The sequence below is a fragment of the Homo sapiens genome, chromosome 9, assembly GCF_000001405.40.
Source record: "Homo sapiens chromosome 9, GRCh38.p14 Primary Assembly".
NCBI lineage: Eukaryota > Metazoa > Chordata > Mammalia > Primates > Hominidae > Homo > Homo sapiens.
In genome coordinates, this window is record NC_000009.12 from 14,445,223 (window position 1) to 14,470,372 (window position 25,150).

The following is a 25,150-nucleotide window of genomic DNA, read 5'->3' on the forward strand; positions in this document are numbered from 1 at the left end:
ATTTTGGGGGTTTTCTATTTTGATAATCATACATATCATTGCAAATAGTGATAATTTTAATCATTTCTATTTTTTTATTATTGTGATGGCTAGAATCTACAGTACAAGTTTGAAGGAAAGGAGTGATAGCAGGCATTTTTATCTTTTTCCTGATCTTCAAGAGAGTGTTCTTACCATTACTATCATTAACTATAATATTTACTGTAAGTTTTTATAGATGCCTTTTATTGGGTTAAGGAAGTTACCTCCTATTGCCAGTTGGCATAAGAAATTTTGATCTTTTTTAGAATTTAGATCATAAAATGAGTATTAAATTTTAGCAAATACTCTGGCTTCTATTTAGATGATCATTCAACTTTTCTCCTTTAATCTGTCAATGTGCACATTAATTTCCAAATTTACAAGTTTTAATTTTCAAATATTAAACCAAACTTGCATTTCTGAAATTAGTCTAATTTGGTCATTATGTTCTATTCTTTTGGAGCATTGCTGGTTTGGTTTTATGAAATTTTGTTTAGGATTTATGCTGTGTTCTCGAATGAGATTAACCTGACACTATTTATTGTTTTATATACCCAATACTTATTTCTATTCATTTACATATTTGTCACTTTTCATTCTCTTCTTTTCTTCTTGCATCTTTGATGTTTGATTGGGGAACATTTTCTTGATGCCTAAATAACATCCTTTAGAATAGCCATTAGAGAGTTTTCTGGTAACACACTGGCTCAGATTTTGTGTGTATGAAAATATATTGATTTAATCTTCATTTCTGAAGTACATTTCCACTAGGCATAGAATTCCAGGTTCTCTCAGCATGTTGGAGATATAATCGCACTCTCTTCCAGCTTTCATTGCTGAGATAGGTGCTTTCAGACTGATGCTCACCCGAAGAACGTGCCTTTGCTGTCTGGCTCCTTTTAAGGTAATTTCCTCATTTTGATTTTGGTTTTGTTTGTATGTTATGTTTTCAGTTTCACAATAGTGTGTCTAAGTATGGATTTCTTTTTAATTATACTGTTTAGGATTAACTGGGTTTGAATCTATGGGTTGGAACATTGTATCAGTTCTGAAAAATCCTTAGCCATTATCTCTTCAGATACTGTCTCTGCTTAATTCCCCTTGTCTTATCCTTCTGGGATTCCAGTCCAACCTACATTACGTGTTCTCATTACACCCCACATGTCTGTGTCTTGGTTTATTTTTACTATTGTTTTGTTATCTTATGCTTCTTTCTGGATAATTTCTACAGATCTCTTTTACAGTTCACAAATTTTCTTTTCAGCTTTCATTACTCTACTGTCAAACTCATCCATTTCATTTCTTTCCTGTAAAACATCTACTTTTGGTTTGTAGCAGCCAGTGAAAATTTATGTGTGTCATATATATAATAATATGACTTGAAAACAGTATAATCATACATTTTAAAATCATACTTAAAAATTATGTAGTGAACACTAACAATATCCGGGCCCATACTAGCTACATAAATATATTCTGTCTCTTAAATAAATGAACGTATTATTATGTAATTTTAAAGACATCACAAGAGTACAGGGAATAGTATTAATAAAAACAACTTCTGCGCATTACTCAACTTTAATAATCATCATTTTAACAATCTTATTTTATCTTTCTCTACCTACACACTTGGTAAACACATTTTTTCTTAGAAAAATTTTCAAACAAATCTCAGATATCACATAATTCCATCTGAAATAACATTTCCCCTGAAAATACCTTAGTAGTCATCTCTAATGGATAAGAACATCTATATTTATGCAGAACCAACATGCTTTTATCACATATGAATAAACCAACACAGAAATTCCTTATATGCTTGAGGTATTTTTATCATAAGAATCTTATATTTCATAGGTTCAATGTAGTTCTTTGAAAGTCTGTTTGGTTATGTTTTATAGTTTATTGTTTCTGTTTCATATTTTCAAGTTTGCAATTTATTTCTTTAATATTACACATAATTTTTTAATAGCCTGTGTCTGAAACTTCCACGACCTGAAGTCCTTATGAATCCATGTCTGCTCTGTTTGTTTTTAGCTATTGCTCATGGTGCATTATTTCCTTGTGCATTTAGTAAAGTTTTATTGCAGTATGCTCCGTATTCTCAGAATTGTATTCATGGGAGTTCTTTAGAGCTTGGAAAGAAGATGTGTTCTTTAGAGAGGATCTACATTTATTTCTATCATTCACCCGGTGGTACAATTAGTGTGGGGTCACTCTCCATTAAATTCTTGGCTTGAGGTTTTTAAAACCACTAAATGAGTGTGAATTCAGGCTGTAAATCTCAGACAAACTGTGGCTATAAGTTCTCAGTAGTGATTTCTTTTTCTATTCTCACCTTAACTCCGCATTCACCACATTCACCATTAAAAGCAGTATATTTTCTTTGTAGTTTTCTGGTTGAGAGTGGGAGTGAAGAGAAATAGCTGCATTATTTCTAGTTCACTTTTATTCTGAGAGTATAATTCTTTGGGATACAGGCATGTGGACTCCCTACCTTGGTGGGCTCTGGGATTTATGTCCCATTCCCTGTATCTTAGAAGTCATAAAAACAAGAGTTCATGTTCATTTGTTTCAACAAATGATCCCAGTTCCTAGGCTGAAAGTTCTTTTCTTTTTTCAGAGTTCATTGATCGATTTAAGATGATGCTTTTTCACATATTTAGACAAGTTTTTAAATTATGCATAGAAGGAAGGCTGATCAAGGTACCTACCCTGAAATTGGAAGTCCTCTATTGATACTTTAGCCTATACTGATCTGGCTTTCTATCAATGAAGTTATAGAAAACTTGACTGAGAATCAAAAAAGTATATAACTTGTGGTTTGACCATATATGTAACCATAGATGGGATTGAGAAAAAGTCTCGTTCTTTGCAAACATTATACAGTGTGAAAATATGGATCACAGAAAAGTGACTGTCAATTAAAGCAAAATCAATTCTTGGGGACTGAGCTCATTGTACACAAAATTAGTCACTTGTATTATGTATAACTTAACTATGTCATATGAATCTGTCTTAATGTCCTCAATAAACTGATGCTTCCTGGAAGATTTTTCATTCTTCATTAAGTTTGTATCTTGCGGTATCTATAGTGGTAGGCATAATTATTGGCTGAAATAAGGAACTAAATGATTGCATCCAAAAAAAATTTTTATTTAAAATCTGAATTGATTTAACTATTTATATATTCTAAGAGTTGAAAGGGATTGTCATAATTCCCATGAGAGTGGCAGTAATATTTCTCCAGTGCTTCCTTTTTCTTAAAAAACCTAGTTGGGATGGAGAAGGTGCTATTCAGAGGAAATGCTTTATTGTCTATCAAAGGATTTTAATGAATCTTTGGATTTGCAAAGGGAAAGCCAAAGCTAAGTGTGGGAATAAGGCTGGAAACAAATGGAGTGTACTGAATAAGACAAGGGTAGGACTTTTATTTTCTCTTGAAAGAGGGGCAAATAAGAAATAGAGTGGGAGCACAGAGCTGTGTACGGTGGTAACAGCACAGCAAGCAAGGTGGGTAAAGAACTTGTCATCCCATGGATAGCTGGTATCTAATACTCGACGTTAAGATTTTTATGTTTTTGCAATATTCCCATTCATTTTTCCAACCTCCAGCAATGTCTGCTACACCTGCGTAAATCTTGCATAAGTGAGGATTGGGAGATAGAGGGATATGCATACAAATCAAAGAAAGGGAGTTGCTCCCAGTTTGAGTCAATGCTAGGGTAGAATAAAGGAAGAGCACTATGAGACAGTGAAGAAAAGGAAGTTGCTGGGATGGATGATCAAAGATTGAAGGTTACCATGAAACTTTAAGTTCCTGAAAAATTTGATGCAATTTGATGCAATTTAATTCCCAGACCTTAAAGGGCAGGATATTTGTATATAATACTGTATCATTACTAATATTTTCTACTAATATTTAATGGCATCAGAAAGTTGCTTCAATGTTCAGAAGTCAGTCGTTAGTGTCAGGGTCCAACCAAAGTCTCATAATTCCCCCAACATTTTATTTCCCCAACTATGCTTCAAGCGGTGATTCTCAAACTTATATGCACATTGGAATCATTGAGAGAGCTAAAACCTACTGATGCCTATGCACCACTCCACATATTCTGATTTAATTGGCCTAAGATGGAACCTGGGCTTCAGGACTTTAAACATCTCCTCAAATGAGTTCAATTTGCAGGCAAAGTTGAGGATCACTGGCATAAAGCTATAATAGCATTCTAAAGACAGTCGGAAATATTCAAATGAGATGGTAAAAAGCAATAGAGAATGCATGAGTTGAAAGTGTGATCATAAAGGAAGTTAAATTTGTTGAAATGCATCATTTTTTATCATATAATCCCTGTTCATGCTGGGGCTGAAAAACAAAAGTCAAAACAGACAAAAATATTTCTCGACCGGGTACAGTGGCTTACACCTGTAATCCCAGCAATTTGGGAGGCTGAGGCGGGTGGATCACCTGAGGTCAGGAGTTTGAGACCAGCCTGGCCAACAAGGTGAAACCCCGTCTCTACTAAAAATACAAAAAAAAATTAGCCAGACATGGTGGTGCATGCCTGCAGTCCCAACTACTCCGGAGGCTGAGGCATGAGAATCGTTTCAACCCAGGAGGTGGAGGTTGCAAGTGAGCCGAGATCACGCCACTGCACTCCAGCCTGGGCAGCAGAGCAAGACTCCATCTTGATTAAAAATAAATAAATAAATAAATAAAATTTTTTTTAAAAAAAATTATTATACTCTCAGTTATAGGGTACATGTTCACAATGTGCAGGTTTGTTACCTAGGTATACATGTGCCATGTTGGTTTGCTGCACCCATTAACTCATCATTTACATTAGTTATTTCTCTTAATGCTATCCCTCCCCCAGCCCCCTACACTCCGACAGGCCCCGGTGTGTGATGTTCCGCTCCCTGTGTCCATGTGTTCTCTTTGTTCAATTCCCACCGATGAGTGACAACATGCGGTGTTTGGTTTTCTGTCCTTGTGATACTTTGCTAAGAATGATGGTTTCATTCTCATTAAAGTCCTCTGTATAACTGGGAAAAGAAAACATCTATACCCACTCAACCTACTGCTTACATCAACACAACTTTACTCTTCAAACTGCATTGACCTAACGTTACTTTTCCATGAACCTCTTGCCCAAGAAGCTGAAGTTGAAGATAATATTATAGTTCGTTTCAAGAACTTTCCCCAAGTCTATTATCCTGTCTTCATTTATCACCCTTTCTTAGAATAATAGATAATTTCAAAAGATCATTTATTCTGTACTTTGAAAACCTCCCCACTCTGTGTACTCCGATCTTTACTTATAACAAACCTTGCTCAGTTCTAACTAAGTGCCCCTCTACACTGCATTGAGAGACTCCCTTTAAATCAGATGTTACAGCACCCCTCCCCCCGCACCACAAACTCATAAATACTCTAACTTTGTCCTCCTGATTCCTGGGAACTACTAAAACACTTTCAAGGTGATTTTCTTTTCTTTTATAAGTGGCAAAAACTGGGCTTTGTTTTATTTATCAACCGGCCATGAAGTATCTATTTACTGTTTGTTCAGAGATTCTCATATATTTCAGTTGGGAAATGTCCAAATGTCTTATTTTAAAACATTGAAGAAAATAGCTACACTTTACCCAGTGCCAGCCGTGTGATTTACAGACATTGTCTGTCATGCTTTGAATACATTTTCAGGGTTGGTATCACTAATTATATTTTTCACAAACGAGACTCACAGAAATCTGGAACTTTACAGGGGGTCACACAACTATTTAGAGCAGGGATTTTGGTCCAGGTGCTGGCACCACATTACCTCGGTGAAGCCTGAATCCAGGTCTGCTCTAGCCAGCTGGAGGAAACATTTGAGGTGTTACCAATTTTAATGAGTTGACATCAGCTCCTACCCTCCCAGTGGGACACCACAAAGGTAGCCAGATAATTGAGGTAGAAGAGTCACTTTATAATTTTTCAGCAACATTTATATGTTTTAAATCTTCAGCTGCATGGTGGATAGGTAGGTGTTCACCAGTTTATTCTTTATTACATCTTTGTATACCTGATATTTCACAGTATTTCTTTCTTTTGAAATTTTATTGTGAAGCATTTTAAACATACAAATATAGAATAATATATTGAACCTTAATGTGCTCACTACCCAGCTTCAACATTGACCAACTATTGATCAACTCTTGGCCAATTATTCATAAACATTTTCGTTTGTGTTTCTAAAATATAAGGATGTTTAAAGTATGTATCTGTAAAAGGTAAGCACTTAAAAAAACAAAACAAAACAAAACCCACAAATACCACTTCAGGCCGAACATAAGTTTGACAATAGTTTCTAAGCATCATCAAATATCGAACTAGCATACAAGTATCCAGTTGCCACATACAAATCATAATATTTTAGAGCTTGCTTGTATAATATGATTAAACTTCAGTAACTTAAGAGGGCTTTAGTCTCCCATTTAACATAGAATATGAAAACTTGTCCTAATGGGAATATTTCTGTTGAAAGGCAGCTTGAGTTTCCCACTGTGGTCTCAGTTCTTAATGTTTTGATTTGAATTTTCATGAAAATGTTTATTTTCATGAAGCCCCATTTATTTAAAGCATGACCTTATTTTTTTTTTTGCAAGTTCTGAACCTGTCGTCCTGTTTTAATTTGTACGTCTGGACCACATAATATCTTTATGGTACTCAAAGCCCCTTGGGGCTGGGGCGAGGATGCAGTTAAGAGGCATTATCAATACAAGTTAATCCGGGATGTCTGCTCTCATTTTTCAGGTTTTCATGTTTAAGTCAATAACTACTTTGACATACAGATCTGACTTTTTCTCCAGCAGCAATTTGCATTTCTGGTCTCATAAAGCCTTTCTTATTCCTTTGTGGTTATTCGTGTTTCTAATGAGTAATAAAGGAACTGTCAACATTGATGTGAACCAAGAGGTAACACACGGAGGGGTGGTACAGTTAGAGGTATGAGCTACTAAAATTCCCCAAGCAGTTTTAATCAAAACCCACCCTTACTGTTTTCATTGTATCCATGATATTTTTTACATTAAAAAATAAAAGAAAGAAAAAAGAAGGAGGGAAAGTAGGAAGGAGGGAGGGTTGGAGATAAAGAAGGATGGAAGTAGGGAAAGACAGAGGGAGATGGAAGGAAGGAAGGGAGGGAGGGAGGGGAAGGAAAGGAAAGGAAAGGAAAGGAAAGGAAAGGAAAGGAAAGGAAAGGAAAGGAAAGGAAAGGAAAGGAAAGGAGGAAGGAAGTAGCAGGTGCTTTTGAAGTTAGGTAATGATACATCAATCTTGTATTTCTTTCTTCAGGAGTGGTACAGTCATCTACAGGTCATCTGTCAGAATATAATGAGAAAATCTCGACCCTGGGACTTCATATTTGGCCCTATTCCCTAGTAGACATGTCTGCTCCTGAAGAGGAGTCCCAACTTGGTAGTAGCTCTGTAAGCTAAACAAATATCTGCCAAAACATTAGGCAGATGGTTATCAAATGATTTTCACATTCCCTATGTGAAGATCACTGTGCCCTGCTGATGACAGGATTACATAGGGACTAAAACAAATTAACTGGAAGCAGGGAGGAGAAGGGGGAGAATCCTATTAGTTTGGACCACACATGTGGTTAAATAAAAGCAGGAACAATCACAGCATTGGGTTTTATTTAGATCAGTATGTGCTTTCTCAAAGGGATTGAAAGTATTTGGAATGTGATTTGTCTTTTTCCACTTTGATTGCTTTGTAACGTGGTGCCTCTTAAGAAACCTCATGGGTGCATAAGCCCACCACAGTGTGGCATTCTCTTTAGAACTCCCAGTGAGGTGGGTTCCCACCCTGATCTCAGAATCTTGTTCAGGGTATCTTTTGTGTATTTAAAGGACACTTGGTCTTCTCTGACTATCCCTGCTCAAAGACAGGATCACTGAAATGACTCCCAGCAAAGGATAAAAACAGACATGATCCAGTGTGTGTAATGTATAACAAACATTGGCAGGTTTCTCATTCTGTGTTTAACTTTGACATGAAGCTAGTCTGTCATGTTTGAAGATCAAATGAGATTTCTGCCAACCCACTCCTAGATAGGGAGGATTTATCTGCAACCACACTATGATGTTCCCTTAATACTTTTCAAAAATACAAGTGCTTACATCCTAATAGGTTTTTAGCTTAAGATCTAATCATCTACTCTTGAATTAAGATGCTTGAATGAAGCCAACTCATTTGGAACTAAGCACTTTAATGTCAACAGAGACATATGGTATGGAGACAGAATTACAAAGCCTCTCTTCTGAGGCATCCATTAAGAAAACAAGACTAAGAACACAGCATCATTATTAGTTTACTCATTTATTTCTTAGTAAATCATTGAGAGTAATATTGTCTTATGAAAGTAGAAATGGTCTAAAAATTACATGTTAGGGATAGGGTACATTCCCGTTTGAAATGGTGACATTATTCCCTTGCTCCATAATTACTGCCCACTTCTTTTGCAAACAGCAGTAAATTTTTATAACAAAAAGAAAATACAATATAGGCTGGGCACGGTGGCTCACACCTGTAATCCCAGCACTTTGGGAGTCTGAGGCTGGTGGATCACAGGGTCAGGAGATCGAGACCACCCTGGCCAACATGGTGAAACCCCATCTCTACTAAAAGTACAAAAATTAGCTGGGCACGGTGGGCACCTGTAGTCCCAGCTACTCAGGAGGCTGAGGCAGGAGAATCGCTTGAACCCGGGAGGCAATGAGCCGAGATCGCGCCACTGCACTCCAGCCTGGTGACAGAGCAAGACTCCGTTTCAAAAAAAAAAGTACAATATATATTACACATTTTGTACAAACATATAGGTAGTGTAAATATGAAGACTCACATGTTGCCATTTGTAGGAAAGTACATTCCAGTCCAAATACAAGTTGTCATTTAGGACTCCTCAAAACCAGTACAATTGTCAATACAATAATGTAATTGAAAAGTTAGACCTGACTTGTCAAATGAGGAAAATGTATTAATAAGGAATTGTGGAACAGTGAGCCTCTGAGAAGATTATGTTGCTATTTAGCTGCAGACAATCTGCAAAATAGAAGTGTGCTAATTCTGCTCATCTTGGTCAAATTAATACATCCAAAATGTTTGAATGACATCAAGTTATTCAAAGCATTTGACCAGGAGGTAACCCTCTCTCTTGCCTAGTTAATTTTTGTTAACTCTCACATATTTCCTAGTGGTAGTGAAAACAGGGTCTTTTAAGCCACCTAGACTATGTTGCCTTACCTATTTTATGTTTTCTTACCATTTTCTCTTAGTCCTTTGAAGCATTTGTCACAACTGGGTTATTATTTGGCTAATGTTTGCATTTTCTGCTAGTTTGTAAGCTCTGTAACATCAGTTCTATATTTGCCTTTTCCATCACTTTATTGCTGTGGTAATTGTTCTATTTGTTAAAAGTATTCTGTACCTTTCACTGCAGAATCCCTCTCTACCAGAATGTTATAGTACCAGTCCCAAAGCTTAGTCACATGCCTTGCTTTGACCAATAAAATATAAGTGGAATTGACATGTGTCATTCTGAGCAGAAGCTTTAAAGGTTTTCATATGGTCTCCCCATTGCTTTTCCCCTATGTCAAGACACCAGCATATCCCAGATAGGGCTGCTTCTCGAACCTGGAATGAATTGAATTCTGAAATGAAGATTTAGAGCAGAATCAAAGCTGAGTGGGAATAGGTATGTAATATGAGCAAAAAATAAACTTTTATGGTTGTAAGCCCCCATGATTGGGGGTTATTTGTTACTGCTGCTTAATTTGACTGATACAAATACCTGATGACTGTCAGGATGCCTGGCACATGGTAGGCCTGCAATACATATTTGGTGACAGACTGAATGAATTAATAGAGATATGTAATGGAGACACACAGGAATTTAAGGCATATGCAGGTGCAAAGTAGTAAAAATCTGAGTGTGTATCATTATTTCAACCACAGAAATTTGGGGTTTAATGTAATAAACATGTAATTATCTGCTTTTGAAACCTAAGCCACTCAAGTTAAATATGTGTGATATAACAAAAGTCATGCATTATTTACTATTAACTAGTGAGGTACAGCAGTGGTTCATGGAAGGGAGGGAAAAGTGGTATGTCGCAATAGCCAGGTGAGAGTTCACTTGAGGATGTGAACTGGATGAACAAGTGGATTTATCAAGGCTTTTAGTTAGTGGAGGGGTGAGAGGAGGACATGGCAGATTTCTAAAAGGAGAAAGATGAAAACAAAACTTGTGGATTAGGGAAACTCAGGGATATGATTTAATGAAGATGATGTTTAGGCAGATTAGTCAGGTGGCAGACTGCAGAATGAACGGATTAGAGAAGAGAATTGAGAGGCTAGAAACAGTTAAGAAGCTACTTCAGAAAATGTACCATCAAAAAAAGGGCAATTAACTCTCAGGGAAGCTATACATTCAAAGTGACCTTAACAAAAGTGTAAACAAGATTATCATTCGTTTTTAGGGAACTAGACTAGAAAATTCTAAATTCACTTGGAAAAATTTTTTAAAAAGAGGAACATTCTAAAAAAGAATTATGAGATATTAAAACATAGAATCTAAATAATTAATATGACATTTTGAATGGACAGGCAGATCAATGGGAGAGTTTTGAAAATAAAAAACATATACAAGTTCATTCGGAAAATTAGTGTCAAGAGGTATCATTAATAGTCAGTGGGAAAAGATGGATAATTCATTTGGATTGGCATCTGCAAAAACAAGTTGGACCTGACCTCATATATTGCAGAATAAATTCCAAATGGATCAAAGCATTGAATGTACTAGATTCGATCATAATACCATTTCTGTAGGTCAAAAATTATCAAATATTGGTGATTTCATATGATTCACCTAATAAAAACTGAAGTTACAAAAGTACCTGGAGTAACTACTTGGCATTTTTTTTTTTTTATCATTTAAGGCATGAAAGTGAATATCACTTGGCTTTTAAAAACATTCTTATGTTGGGAAAGACTTTTAAAGCTATGACACAGAATCCAAAGGCCTATAGCATAAAAGATGGTTAAATTCAACTACTTAATAATAAAGTTTTTCTGGAAGGCAAAAATCACCACAAACAGAGTAAAAAGACAAAGGACAAACCTGCAAAAATGTTTTCAACTTATATAGACATATAATTAATTTCTCTAATATCCAAAGAACTTCTACAAATCAATGCACAAAAAGCCAATAATGCACTAGGAAAATTAAAATAAAATATCAACACATAGTTCAAAGGACAAAGTATTAATTGGCTCTTATTCATATGAAAGGATGCTCAGCCTCACTCATAACATGCAGCCTCACTCATTTAATTTGAAAATTCAAATTAAAATTAAAGTAAGATAAAATTGTTTCAGCTATTAGATTGCAGAGATCCCAGAGTTTGATAGCACATTATGTTGGCAAATGGAAGCACTTCCGGTAGGGGTACAAATTGCTAAGTTTTCAATAGGGGACAATTTGCCCATATCCGTCAAAAGCACCGAAGAACATACTCTGACCCAGCCATCCCATTTTGGGAAATTTATCCTATTGATGCACCTGTACATGTGTGAAATGGCAATGGCAACATTATTAAATGCAGAATTGTTTGCAAAATCAAAAGTCTTAAAACAACTCGAATGCCCAGTTTTGGACGATGGCTAAATAAATTATAGTACAGGTCCATAATTGAACAATGTACAACCATAACAATGAATGAGACAATTCTAAATACTGACATAAAAAGACATTCAAATAAAATTGTCATGTGAGAAAGAAAAGGCCAAGGGCAATGTGTACTGTATGCTGCCATTGATCTTAAAAAGGCTAACAGAGAATATATGAACATACACGTAAGTACAGCATTTCTATGGAAAAACATATTAGGAGCTAATAACATTGGCTGTGGGAAGATGAACTGGATATCCAGGGAACAGGGTGGAAGTTACACTATTCACTGCATAGCCTTCGCACATTTTGAATTTTGAACCACTTTAATATATTACCTATTTACAAAATTAAATTTAAAAAAATGATAGTTTAGTTTGAACGAGTTGATGTCAACACCCTTTGAAAGAGGGCTATTTCTCACTAAATGCCCATAAGAGAAAGCAGGAAAGATCTAAAATTGACACCCTAACATCACAATTAAAAGAACTAGAGAAGCGAGAGCAAACACATTCAAAAGCTAGCAGAAGGCAAGAAATAACTAAGATCAGAGAAGAACTGAAGGAGACAGAGACACAAAAAACCCTTCAAAAAATCAATGAATCCAGGAGCTGGTTTTTTTTTTGAAAAGATCAACAAAATTGATAGACCCCTAGCAAGATTAATAAAGAAGAAAAGAGAGAAGAATCAAATAGACACAATAAAAAATGATAAAGGGGTTATCACCACCGATCCCACAGAAATACAAACTACCATCAGAGAATACTATAAACACCTCTATGCAAATAAACTAGAAAATCTAGAAGAAATGGATAAATTGCTGGACACATACACCCTCCCAAGACTAAACCAGGAAGAAGTGGAATCTCTGAATAGACCAATAACAGGCTCTGGCATTGAGGCAATAATTAATAGCTTACCAACCAAAAAAAGTCCAGGACCAGGCGGATTCACAGCCAAATTCTACCAGAGGTACAAGGAGGAGCTGGTACCATTCCTTCTGAAACTATTCCAATCAATAGAAAAAGAGGGAATCCTCCCTAATTCACTTTATGAGGCCAGCATCATCCTGATACCAAAGCCTGACAGAGACACAACAAAAAAAGAGAATTTTAGACCAATATCCCTGATGAACATCGATGCAAAAATCCTCAATAAAATACTGGCAAACCAAATCCAGCAGCACATCAAAAACTTATCCACCATGATCAAGTGGGCTTCATCCCTGGGATGCAAGGCTGGTTCAACATATGCAAATCAATAAACATAATCCAGCATATAAACAGAACCAGTGACAAAAACCACATGATTATCTCAATAGATGCAGAAAAGGCCTTTGACAAAATTCAACTGCCCTTCATGCTAAAAACTCTCAATAAATTAGGTATTGATGGGATGTATCTCAAAATAATAGGAGCTATTTATGACAAACCCACAGCCAATATCATACTGAATGGGCAATATCTGGAAGCATTCCCTTTGAAAACTGGCACAAGACAGGGATGCCCTCTCTCACCACTCCTATTCAACATAGTGTTGGAAGTTCTGGCCAGGGCAATCATGCAGGAGAAGGAAATAAAAGGCATTCAATTAGGAAAAGAGGAAGTCAAATTGTCCCTCTTTGCAGATGACATGATTGTATATCTAGAAGACCCCATCGTCTCAGCTCAAAATCTTCTTAAGCTGATAAGCAACTTCAGCAAAGTCTCAGCATACAAAATCAATGTACAAAAATCACAAGCATTCTTATACACCAATAACAGACAAACAGAGAGCCAAATCATGAGTAAACTCCCATTCACAATTGCTTCAAAGAGAATAAAATACCTAGGAATCCAACTTACAAGGGATGTGAAGGACCTCTTCAAGGAGAACTACAAACCACTGCTCAAGGAAATAAAAGAGGATACAAACAAATGGAAGAATATTCCATGCTCATGGATAGGAAGAATCAATATCGTGAAAATGGCCATACTGCCCAAGGTAATTTATAGATTCAATGCCATCCCCATCGAGCTACGATGACTTTCTTCACAGAATTGGAAAAAACTACTTTAAAGTTCATATGGAACCAAAAAAGAGCCCGCATTGCCAAGTCAATCCTAAGCCAAAAGAACAAAGCTGGAGGCATCACGCTACCTGACTTCAAACTATACTACAAGGTTACAGTAATCAAAACAGCATGGTACTGGTACCAAAACAGAGATATAGACCAATGGAACAGAACAGAGCCCTCAGAAATAATGCTGCATATCTACAACTATCTGATCTTTGACAAACCTGCCAAAAACAAGAAATGGGGAAAGGATTCTCTATTTCGTAAATGGTGCTGGGAAAACTGGCTAGCCATATGTAGAAAGCTGAAACTGGATCCCTTCCTTACACCTTACACAAAAACTAATTCAAGATGGATTAAAGACTTACATGTTAGACCTAAAACCATAAAAACCCTAGAAGAAAACCTAGGCAATACCATTCAGGACATAGGCATGGGTAAGGACTTCATGTCTAAAACACCAAAAACAATGGCAACAAAAGCCAAAATTGACAAACGGGATCTAATTAAACTAAAGAGCTTCTGCACAGCAAAAGAAACTATCATCAGAGTGAAAAGGCAACCTACAGAATGGGAGAAAATTTTTGCAATCTACTCATCTGACAAAGGGCTAATATCCAGAATCTACAATGAACTCAAACAAATTTACAAGAAAAAAACAAACAACCCCATCAAAAAGCGGGCGAAGGATATGAATGGACACTTCTCAAAAGAAGACATTTATGCAGCCAAAAGACACATGAAAAAATGCTCATCATCACTGGCCATCAGAGAAATGCAAATCAAAACCGCAATGAGATACCATCTCACACCAGTTAGAATGGCGATCATTAAAAAGTCAGGAAACAACAGGTGCTGGAGAGGATGTGGAGAAATAGGAACACTTTTACACTGTTGGGGGGACTGTAGACTAGTTCAACCATTGTGGAAGTCAGTGTGGCGATTCCTCAGGGATCTAGAACTAGAAATACCATTTGACCCAGCCATCCCATTACTGAGTATATACCCAAAGGAGTATAAATCATGCTGCTATAAAGACACATGCACACGTATGTTTATTGCAGCACTATTCACAATAGCAAAAACTTGGAACCAACCCAAATGTCCAGCAACGATAGACTGGATTAAGAAAATGTGGCACATATACATCATGGAATACTATGCAGCCATAAAAAATGATGAGTTCATGTCCTTTGTAGGGACATGGATGAAGCTGGAAACCATGATTCTCAGCAAACTATAGCAAGGACAAAAAACCAAACACCACATGTTCTCACTCATAGGTGGGAATTGAACAATGAGAACACTTGGACACAGGAAGGGGAACATCACAACCCGGGGCCTGTTGCGGGGTGGGGGGAGGGAGAAGGGGTAGCATCAGGAGATATACCTAATGTAAATGACGAGTTAATGGGTGCAGCACACCAACATGGCACATGTATACACACGTAACAAACCTGCACGTTGTGCACATGTACCCTAAAACTTAAAGTATAATAAAAAAAAAAGAGGGCTATTTCTGTTGCAGATAGTTAGATCTTACTTGATTTGAAAAAAGAAAAACACCCACACACAAAAATCCTGAACTCAATATAATAAATGACCATCAATCATATTCTATGTATAGACCTATATGTAATTATAATAATGAAATTTTAAATAAATTAGTATGCAGATAATCCATTTCCTACATTGAAATTAGAGTGAACTTTCTAAAACACAAATTTGATAGTGTCTCTCCCCTGCTTTAAATCCTTCCATGGCTCCTCATTGCCCTAAGGATAATGAAATCCAAATTCCTTAGTGTAACATACAAGGCCTTCCACTGCCCAGGTCTCTGCTTGTTATTCCAACTTCACTTCTTACTCCTTTCCCTATCTTGTTCCATTTATTCCAAATTTTCTATAGTCTTTAGGACCCAAGCTCCACACCAGAACTTTATACGTCTCTGTTTATCTGCAGCTTTTCTTTTGGCTTAGAGGATCGTACTTCTTTTCCCTTCCTCCGTGCACCCTCTTGTTCCTCAGTAATTAGATATCAAGTCTCCCTGACCCCCAAGGCTGGATAAGCTCAATCTTCTCCACAGTCCCATAGCATCCCACACTGTTCTCTGCAATTGTCTGTACACCACCAATTGGTAACTGATGCTTCATTTTTTTATCCCTCAGTAGATTGTGAGGTCTTGAGGGAACTGTGAGCTTGGCAGAGCAATCGGCACAGAGTTGATTAAATGTTTATTGAATGAGAACATGAATGAATCAATCCGTTGAAGAAATCCAACTATGAGGTGGCAATGGGAATGGAGGAACACAGGTGATAGGAAGAAATAATCCAAAAGAAAAGTAAACAGGACTTGGTGATAGATGTGTCATAGCCAACTAATTGACTTTGTAAAATTCAGCTCAGAATTGATACTCTCTGCCAAGCCTCATCTTACAAATCAGCCTCTATCAGCAGCAGGCAGGAGTCCTTCTGGCTCAAGTCTTTCTTCCACTGTGGAACTACTTGCAAAAATGTGTTGCTTCCCCTCCACATTTCATCAATCAGCTCACCCCTTCTGGATATAGTACTAACATAGCACACAGGAAACCAAATGCCATGCTCTGCATTCCAGCGTCGGCACCCCATTCTATCATCTCTTTTATGTATGGTAAGAATCCTGTGAAGTGGGCTGGGTAGTTTAATTCCATCTATTCAGCTTATTTTCCAGGTAATGAAGGAGGCACAGAGATCTCAAATTGTAAACCCTAAGTTGTGGAAACTTTGCCTGGGGCACTTATTCCACCAGATCTTAAGTGGGTGCTCTAGGATCACTGGAGCAGGTAAAAAGATGTATTAATGGCATTATGGTATCTTCCTGAAGAGTCCAAAGAGCAACCAGGGAATAGCAAAAGCAAGGGGAGAACTGGATTCAGATGGGTCTCGTATACACATGTTATTGATGATTTCTTCTGAGGCATCAAAGGCATTTCCCCTGAAGACACCAAAGGCAGAGAAGACTGATTGGGAACCTCCTGGGCAGAGTGTCCTAACACCTTTTCTTAAATAGAAATGGAAGTTTCGCATTCCAGCTCATAAGGTATCCCTAGTTATCTTAATATAGGTGTTTTAAATTATTTGCAAGTTAAATTAGTCAAAACATTTTAATACACAATCAGTGTTTCAGTCTGATGCATAAAATATATTCTTTGGTTTCTGCTGATCACCCCAGTGTATTGTGCTGAATCACGGTATGGTATTCTTTTTTCTTTTTTTTCTTTTTTTCTTTTTTCTTTTTTTTTCAGACAGAGTCTTGCTCTGTTGCCCAGGCTGGAGTGCAGTGGCGCGATCTTGGCTCACTGCAAGCTCCGCCTCCCGGGTTCACGCCATTCTCCTGCCTCAGCCTCCCCAGCAGCAGGGACTACAGGCACCCGCCACCACGCCCGGCTAATTTTTTGTATTTTTAGTGGAGACGGGGTTTCACTGTGTTAGCCAGGATGGTCTGGATCTCCTGACCTCATGATCAGCCCGCCTCGGCCTCCCAAAGTGCTGGGATTACAGGAGTGAGCCACCGTGCCCGGCCACCGTATGGTATTCTTGAATCCATCACTGGAGTCTTCCAGAGTGTGAGTAACCAGTAAGAGAAACACAGGACTATCGAATTCTTATCTCTGGGTTTTAGAGTTCTTAGTTAAAGTGACTATCAATTGGGGGAATTTTTCATAGTTAAAAGTGAGGCGTTCCTGACCACAGGGACTATGGGGCCTCTAGGCTCATATAATAGGTGTTCCCATTTATTAGAAAGTTCTGGGATTCTAGCACAAGGCCATAGCCAATCAGTTTACTGTATTAATTATGCTGTTAGTTATTAACATGTTTTAAAGTTATGCAACACTTCCCAAAGGCAGAGACAATGTCACATTCATTTGTTTCAAAGGCTGATTGTAGTGGTTCCTGTGTGCTGAATATGTGCTTCACGAATGTTACAATGTTAATATTCAAACAATGGTAGAGTTTTCACAAAACACAGGGAAGCTTGTCCATAATAAGTTCAATTTAATAAAATTTAATAATAAACAACTATAACATTTAATAAATACACATGAGAATTAAAATTCAATTAAATAATTAAATCATAAAATAATTATTTTGATTGTTTTATTAATTAATTATTTTATTATTTTATTTAATTGAAATAAGCTTAATTTAAATAAACTGCCTATGGTAATAGCAAGAAAAGCTGCAGCTACCCAGCAATAAATGTCAGAAAATATAAAAGACTTTATGGGCATAATTACTAAAAAATATAAAAGAAGAGTTGGATAAATGGAGAGCTATACTTTATTAGATGGAGAGATTCAATATGTAAAGATGTCAGTTCTTTATAAATTAATTTCTAAAGCCAATACAATTTCAATGAACATTTAACAGGATTTTTCCCTTATATATTTAACAAATATCCTAGGAAAAAAAAGCCGTTTCTGTCACCCATCAATGTCAGGATGGTGATGTTGTTAATAGCAAAGGAAATCTCTAATTCCTCCCCTCCTTGCAGAGTGGCATCGTTAAGTGAATTTTCCCCACATTTTATTAAAATCTGCATTTTCTGGGATGTAAGATGCTATTCGGATCATTTACATGACTGAAGTCATTTGATTTTCTTTTTTTTTTTTTTTTTTTTTTTGAGACGGAGTCTCTGTCACCCAGGCTGGAGTGCAGTGGCGCAATCTCGGCTCACCGCAAGCTCCGCCTCCCGGGTTCACGCCATTCTCCTGCCTCAGCCTCCCGAGTAGCTGGGACTACAGGCGCCCGCCACCAAGCCCGGCTAATTTTTTGTATTTTTAGTAGAGACAGGGTTTCACCGTGTTAGCCAGGATGGCCTCGATCTCCTGACCTCGTGGTCCGACCGCCTCGGCCTCCCAAAGTGCTGGGATTACAGGCGTGAGCCAGGGCGCCTGGCCTCTCCCTGCTTTTCTAAAAACACAATCTACGATGGGGTCTGAGGCTGCTTGTAACATGTAGCATTTTTACAGTTGGAAATTCTGAAATCAAGAAAAGAAAAACCACTTTCTCTCCAGCCCTACCGCTAGTGACTGGCTGTGTCTCTGACTGAACCAAATCTGGTAGTAGACAGAGAAAAGAAAAATGAAAGGAATAAAAATTGAAGATAGAGAGACCAGGATGATAATCAAACAATGCCTTACGTTTATGAAAAGTTTTCATTTCCACTATCTCATTTATGTATGGTAAGAATCCTCTGAAATGAGCTGGGTATTTTAATTCCATCGATTCAGCTTATCGTGCAGGTAATGAAGGAGGTACAGAGACCTCAAATTGTAAACCCAGTGCATGACATAGATATATTTTATTATCTCTTAGGCAGTGCTGTGTGTGGAAGGAGCCAGGCTTTCATCCAAACCTAGACGGTGCACATTTTCAACATGGAAAACATTAGGGAAGGCTTTATGGTGGTGGTAAGAAGTGGGCTTTGAACAAAAACAGAACCTGAAGTGTTGGAGGAAAAAGGGAGGGTGTTTCTCATGAGAAAACAGGCACACAGACCTGAAGTTGAGGAGGAGAACAGCTGATGGAGCGTAGCAAGGAATTGGCCTCAGGGGTGAGAGCTTAGGAGGAAAGGATCACAAGAATGATGCCAGGATGGAGGAGGTGGGGTGCTTGGCCGAGACCCCCCAGGGCCCCTTGGAGAGCTGTTCTGATGGACCAGAACCCTAAAGATCTCAGTGGGACGGTCAGCATGCTTTGGGACCTGACTGACCTTGACTCCTTTCCCACTTTGTTACTTGCTGGCTGAGCGACCTTGTGAAGTTATTTATCTTTTTGTCTCCAATCCCTCCTGTGAAAGATGGAGTTGTATTTCCCTATACAACTATTGTGAAGAATGAATGAGTTAATGAATGTGACACAGTACCTGTCATGTGGAATGTACTCAATAGATATTATTATTATTATATGAACATGGGAGTGCCATGATGACAGGCTACAAGATAAATGAGAACAGTCAGTTAAATTTTAAATAACCCATTAAGAATATTGCTTGGTTGGGAAACCAAATAATCTGTCATAAACAAGATGTGCTTTGCAAAGGCTTCACTGTAGAGACCTTTGTAGGACCATGCAAGATTTGCTCTCATTATGGTTCATATGATCAGAATTGGAATCTTAAAATTACCTTCCACCCCCTTATCCTCATCCCTTCAAAAATGTAAATGGAAGCATTATCTCTGAGCCATCCATCCTGGAACCTTCTAATGTTCTCTTTCCAAAAGAAGGACTGGGAAACGTGATGGAAGCTCTTGGAGTTTCCATTTAGGAAGAAAACAAACAGAAAGAAATCACACAAATTCACACTCAAGTGCTACTCTAAATGGGAAGAACATATTTCAAAAAATAAACACTCTGTTTGACTAATCAGAAGGAAATCTGCTCTCTGAATTCAAAGGCCTCTGCATAGATATTAACAACATAGAGAGAAGAAAATGGCTCATTAATGATTTATGAAAATTGTTGTCACCGTCAACCAAAGCATATTTTGTGATGAATGAAATGACTTGTTACACACACACACACACACACACACACACACACACACGCCCTACCCCCTGCAGCTATGGGCCCTTCTTGGCTGTCATAGTGTGAATCACCACTCGAGGGAGCCCAAGGTTCTCTGGTCCTGGGCTACCTACAGTCACCAGGATGCAATGGAACATGTTGGGGAGACATGTCCTTCTGCCACTCTACTGCAGGGTGGACATTTGGGGCCGAGACAATTCTTGGTGTGGGGGCCCATCCTGTGCACTGTACGATGTTAAGCAGCATCCCTGCACCCTACCCACTAAATGCCAGTAGCAACAATACTCCCTCTCCCAGTTGTGACAATCGAAATGTGTCCAGACAGTGCCAAATGTCCCCTAGGGGACAAGCCACTGCTCTAATGAAGCTCATGGAGGTCGTAGGCCCCCAACACTTTGGTCTCCAATAGAAAAGCACGGCAGGACTGAGAGAGAGTCGAGTCACCAGCTGTATTTGTCTCACTCTCCTGTGAGCGGCTTAGTGAGAAGCAGAATGCAGGAAGGAACGATCCAGTTCCCTGATGGCCTCACGGGTGTTCGGAGAGAGCCCGCATCTCAGCCAGCCTTTATGAAGAAAGGAAACACTGTCAAGGCCTGTCTGGGATGGTGCAAGCTGAGGCAAGGCCGTTATCTTCAGCAGCTCAAATGATTAGTTAATTATTCATTACTATTTGTCATAAAACCCTGAAGGTCTGCCAAGTGGTAGTATGCAGGCAATACTAAGGCAGCGGACGTGTCTTTTCTTATTTTCCAGTGAAGATGAGGCATGGAAAGACTGGGCTGCTCTGACAGCACACTCTGCACTGGCACTGGGGGTGTGCAGATGGAAGGTCTAGGAACACGGCACTCTGGATCGCACCATCCTCTGGGCTCTGCGTTTGACATTCTCCCCTCATACTTCCCACTCTGTTGGCTTCAGAGATCATGAGGCCAGAGGAAAAAGCAATGGAGGCGGGTGCTTCCAGCCTGAAAACAGTCGGAAGCTAGGAGCTCCCGTCTGTCAGCCTTCCCTCCTGCTCTCCATAGCGGTGGAACACAGTCCTACCAGCAAGGGGCCTTCTCTGCCCTTTCTCCTCTCTTCTTTCTCCTCTGCCCCCCAGGGTCTGCTTTGTGGTGTCTCCTCCCTCTCTATTCTTCTTTATGTCTGCCTTTGTTATTCATTTTAACCAGAAACAAGTATATGGTTTATGGTGGGGGAGCTGGGGCTGAGGAGACTGGAGACACAGTGCAATTTGCCCCAGATTTTGAAAACACCCAAAGGATGGCCTGGCTTTTAGCCCCACTGAAAGAAAACCAGACAGGCTGACCTCTATTTGCCTGAAAACAAGCCAAGGCTGGGGTTAGGAAATTAAGATCTAGAGTCCCAAAGATTCACCATTCCAGGACCACAGCTGAGGCTTCACTGCTATGCTGTGCGGGAGGGGGCTGTGAGATCCCGGCATGCCAGGGCAAGAGGGCAGGAGAACCAGCAAAAGTCAGGCTTCGCTCTAATGAGAGAGACTTCTAGGTTTCCCTTCGAGGTGTTGGGTGGTGGGGGAATAGTGGCTGTTTCCTTGACAACTGTCATTTAGAATCCAAATAGAGTTCATCATTTGATGAGTTTAGGGCACCACAGGCTGTCCTGATGTGAAGAAAAGGCTATTCCGTGCTAAAGAGAACTGGCTTCATTTTAATCCTTGACCTCCACCTTACCTGAGTCACTGAGAGCTGTTCCTCTTCCCAGCACAGCCAGCACACAGGGTCTGGCCAGGTCACAAGTAGATCCAGGCACATCAGCAAAGTTATTAAGAAGCCTATAAAATTTGGGGACGCATGAGTGGGTGAGACAGTGATTAGAGAAGCCAAGGAGAGGATGGAAGAGGATGAAAATAGGCTTAGGGCTGCCAACTAAGCCACCTGTGACTGCTGGTCTCATTAACAGCTCTTACTGGGGTGAAGGGATATCCTTTGTCCTGGTGCTATAGGGTTTTATAAACTGTTTATCCATTCAATATTTATTATTTATTTATTCAGTCAATTGGCATTCATTCAATATGTATTTATTCACTCAATATTGATTTACTCATTTAATAAATATTTATTGATTTGATATTCATTCAATAAATACTTATCAAACACCTACCATAGGCCAAGCTCTGTTTTAGGTGCTTGAGATACATTAGGAAAGAAAACTAAGAACTGTGTCTGTGGAGCCCTTGCAGGAGGCCAAACATCTTACATTTGATTTGATCCTCACAGTAAATGTATATGGAAGACACTGTTGTCCCCATTTTACAGATGAAAAAACTGAGGCTGAGTGAGATTTAATAACAATGTAGGTATTAAATGGTGGAAATGATCAAGCCCTGATCTGTGCAATTCCAAGTGTGTGTTCTTTTCAAATATGACTTTAATCCTGTGGAGATGTCACTTTACTCAAGGAAGAGTAATCAGCTTTGCATTAGATATTCGTTAGTCTATTTCTCCAGAATTTATGTGCAGAAATTATCCCTATAGGGGAACAAACCAACTTACACACAAAGTGCCAAATGTAGAAAACCAACCGATTTGACAAAGCCACTCACCAAGGATGTATGTTTGCTACGAAGCATGATGTCATCAGAGCCTGGTTGTATAAGAGAGTATTTAGCAAGACTTTAAGAAGAGTGAATGAATATAGAGCTTTCAAGGACTTATCAAACTTAAAGGTAACCAATGCAGACAAAATGCTTGTAAAATGCTAATTAAGGTACACCTCTTTGCCAGTAAGATAAGGTGAGGAGATGATATGATCTAAGGCATTCAGGGCAGTGAAGGGGAAGGGGGTCATTTCCAACATTTAGCGTAACATAAACACAAAAAATGCCCACTTATTAATGAATAGAGATGCATTCTTTGTTAGCTGGTACCCAGGTTGGGTAGAGGGGTGAGAGTGGGTATTCCATTTGGCTTGGAGGCTTTAATTTTGTTGCACTATTTCTGAGTGTGTAAAAATTGCTGCCCAAAGCAGCTCTAATTTGCTCCTCTTTCAGCTTCTCTCAGGAAAAGTCTGGAACACGAGATGATATTCTCCACTCGAATAAGATGCTGGCAGGAACTGGATAGAAAACTGGTGGAGATACAGTGGATGTATATGAAGAAGGAGCTATCTGTCACTTGTGAGGCATTTTGAATGCTAGGTGTTCTACATACATATTTTGTTAAATTCCAAAACAATTTCAAGAGGTAGAAATGATCACACTCACTGATAGGTGAGGGAACTAAGACTCTCACAAGTAAATTGCCCAGATCTCACAGGTAGAAAGGTACAGAAGACCACCATTTGGAATAAAAATAACTCCAGAAATACTGGTGGCTTCTCACTCTCATATCCTCTTTCCTCCCTCATTCTAATCCTAACCGTGTGCTCCACACTGACATATCCAGGTATCAGAAGTGTGTCTGGGACAGGCAGGCAGGCACAACAATGCCCACTTCGATTCCACACACTTCAGGTAGAACACCAGTGGTCCTGTGTCTACGTTCCTTTAACTGCCTTTGTCTCGATCAAGACTATTTTTTGATGCCCACTTCTTTTCCAGAGCAGCCAGGTATGAACACATTGGGATTGGGGGACCGAACTGTGCAAACTGAACCTAGTAGGGCCCCAAAACCCTGTAAGACTCAGTTTTATCATACGGCAAAAAGATATAAGCCTGTTATCAACTTGAAAAGTTACTGTGAAGATGACATGGGATACTGATGATCATTGTGGGTTTCACAAACTTCTCTGGTGATGAGAAGTGCCCACACACTTGTTGATGTATAGAGCTCTTCCCTGGAAATGTGGATTCGGAACCCATCTCTGGATTACTGTATTATTCTCACTGGTATGACTTAGGTATCAAATCAGTGAGTTTGCCTTTGCCCATCCTCTGGTTCTAAAATCTTCTCCCTTCCAAATTTGGAAATAACGTAATCTTGTGTATTTTACTGGCTTCTTCCCTCTGCATGCATGCTCCTAAATCCTTCAGCAGGTGCCTGATACGAATTGGTTGGAAGTGGGGCATGTGGGCTCTCCTGCATTTAACTAGCTAGGTTTCCATTTTCCTCCCTCTTTCTACCACTGTCTTGTATTCCCCCTTTCAGACATTAAATGACAAGAACATAATATCCAGCCTGCATTCCTTATAAAGTCCTCTCCTATATACTTGTTAATGGCTGTCCATCATGGTTCTGCCTGGGGAGGTCTCCAACTCAAACTAACCCAAGGAAGGGATTGAGGAAGAACATTAGAACCAAATCATATAAATGATTACACTGTGTCTAGGTGACTTTTTAATCAAGGCTTGAAAATTTCAAGTCCAATTTTCCCCAAATATTCTATTTGTGTTGTGGTTAAATAATTACATTTTCCATTGTGTGTGTGTGTTTTAAAGAACTATTGCAGAGATTCACACGGGGATGCAAACAGACTGGCAGGTACTAAAGCAGTGAAGGGAACTGTATGAACTTCAGCAAGCTAATTAACCTCTCTGTGCCTCAGTTTATTTATCTGAAATGAAAGATCACATTGATATTCACCCTATGGGTTGTCATGAGGACTAAAATGAGTTCATGCAGGTGAGGAGCTGGGAGCAATGCCTGGCACAGGTTGGAAACAGCTGTTATTGTCATTGCAGCAGAGCCATGTTGCAGAGTCTATGTGCAACTCTGTGTGTCTGCTCCATTTTCTCCTCTCTTTACTCACTGGCTTTCCCTGCTTGCTCCTGGTTCCTGTTCTTATACAACTCTAAATTGCATATGGTTTTGGTTTGCCATATTTG

General features: G+C 38.7%; 1 protein-coding gene across 4 annotated transcripts in view, besides 1 other annotated feature; it reads right to left on the bottom strand.

Moving 5' to 3' along the window:
• The window catches only part of NFIB (nuclear factor I B), a 450,235-nt gene that overhangs the window by 363,380 nt on the left and 61,705 nt on the right, over nt 1-25,150 (bottom strand). The window lies entirely within an intron of this gene.
• Nucleotides 21,229-21,523: a silencer, noted in NCBI's record as "tiled region #8525; K562 Repressive non-DNase unmatched - State 24:Quies". NCBI's record gives its function as "represses a minimal TATA promoter and a strong SV40 promoter by Sharpr-MPRA in K562 cells {active_cell/tissue: K562}" and the evidence as "EXISTENCE:reporter gene assay evidence [ECO:0000049][PMID:27701403]".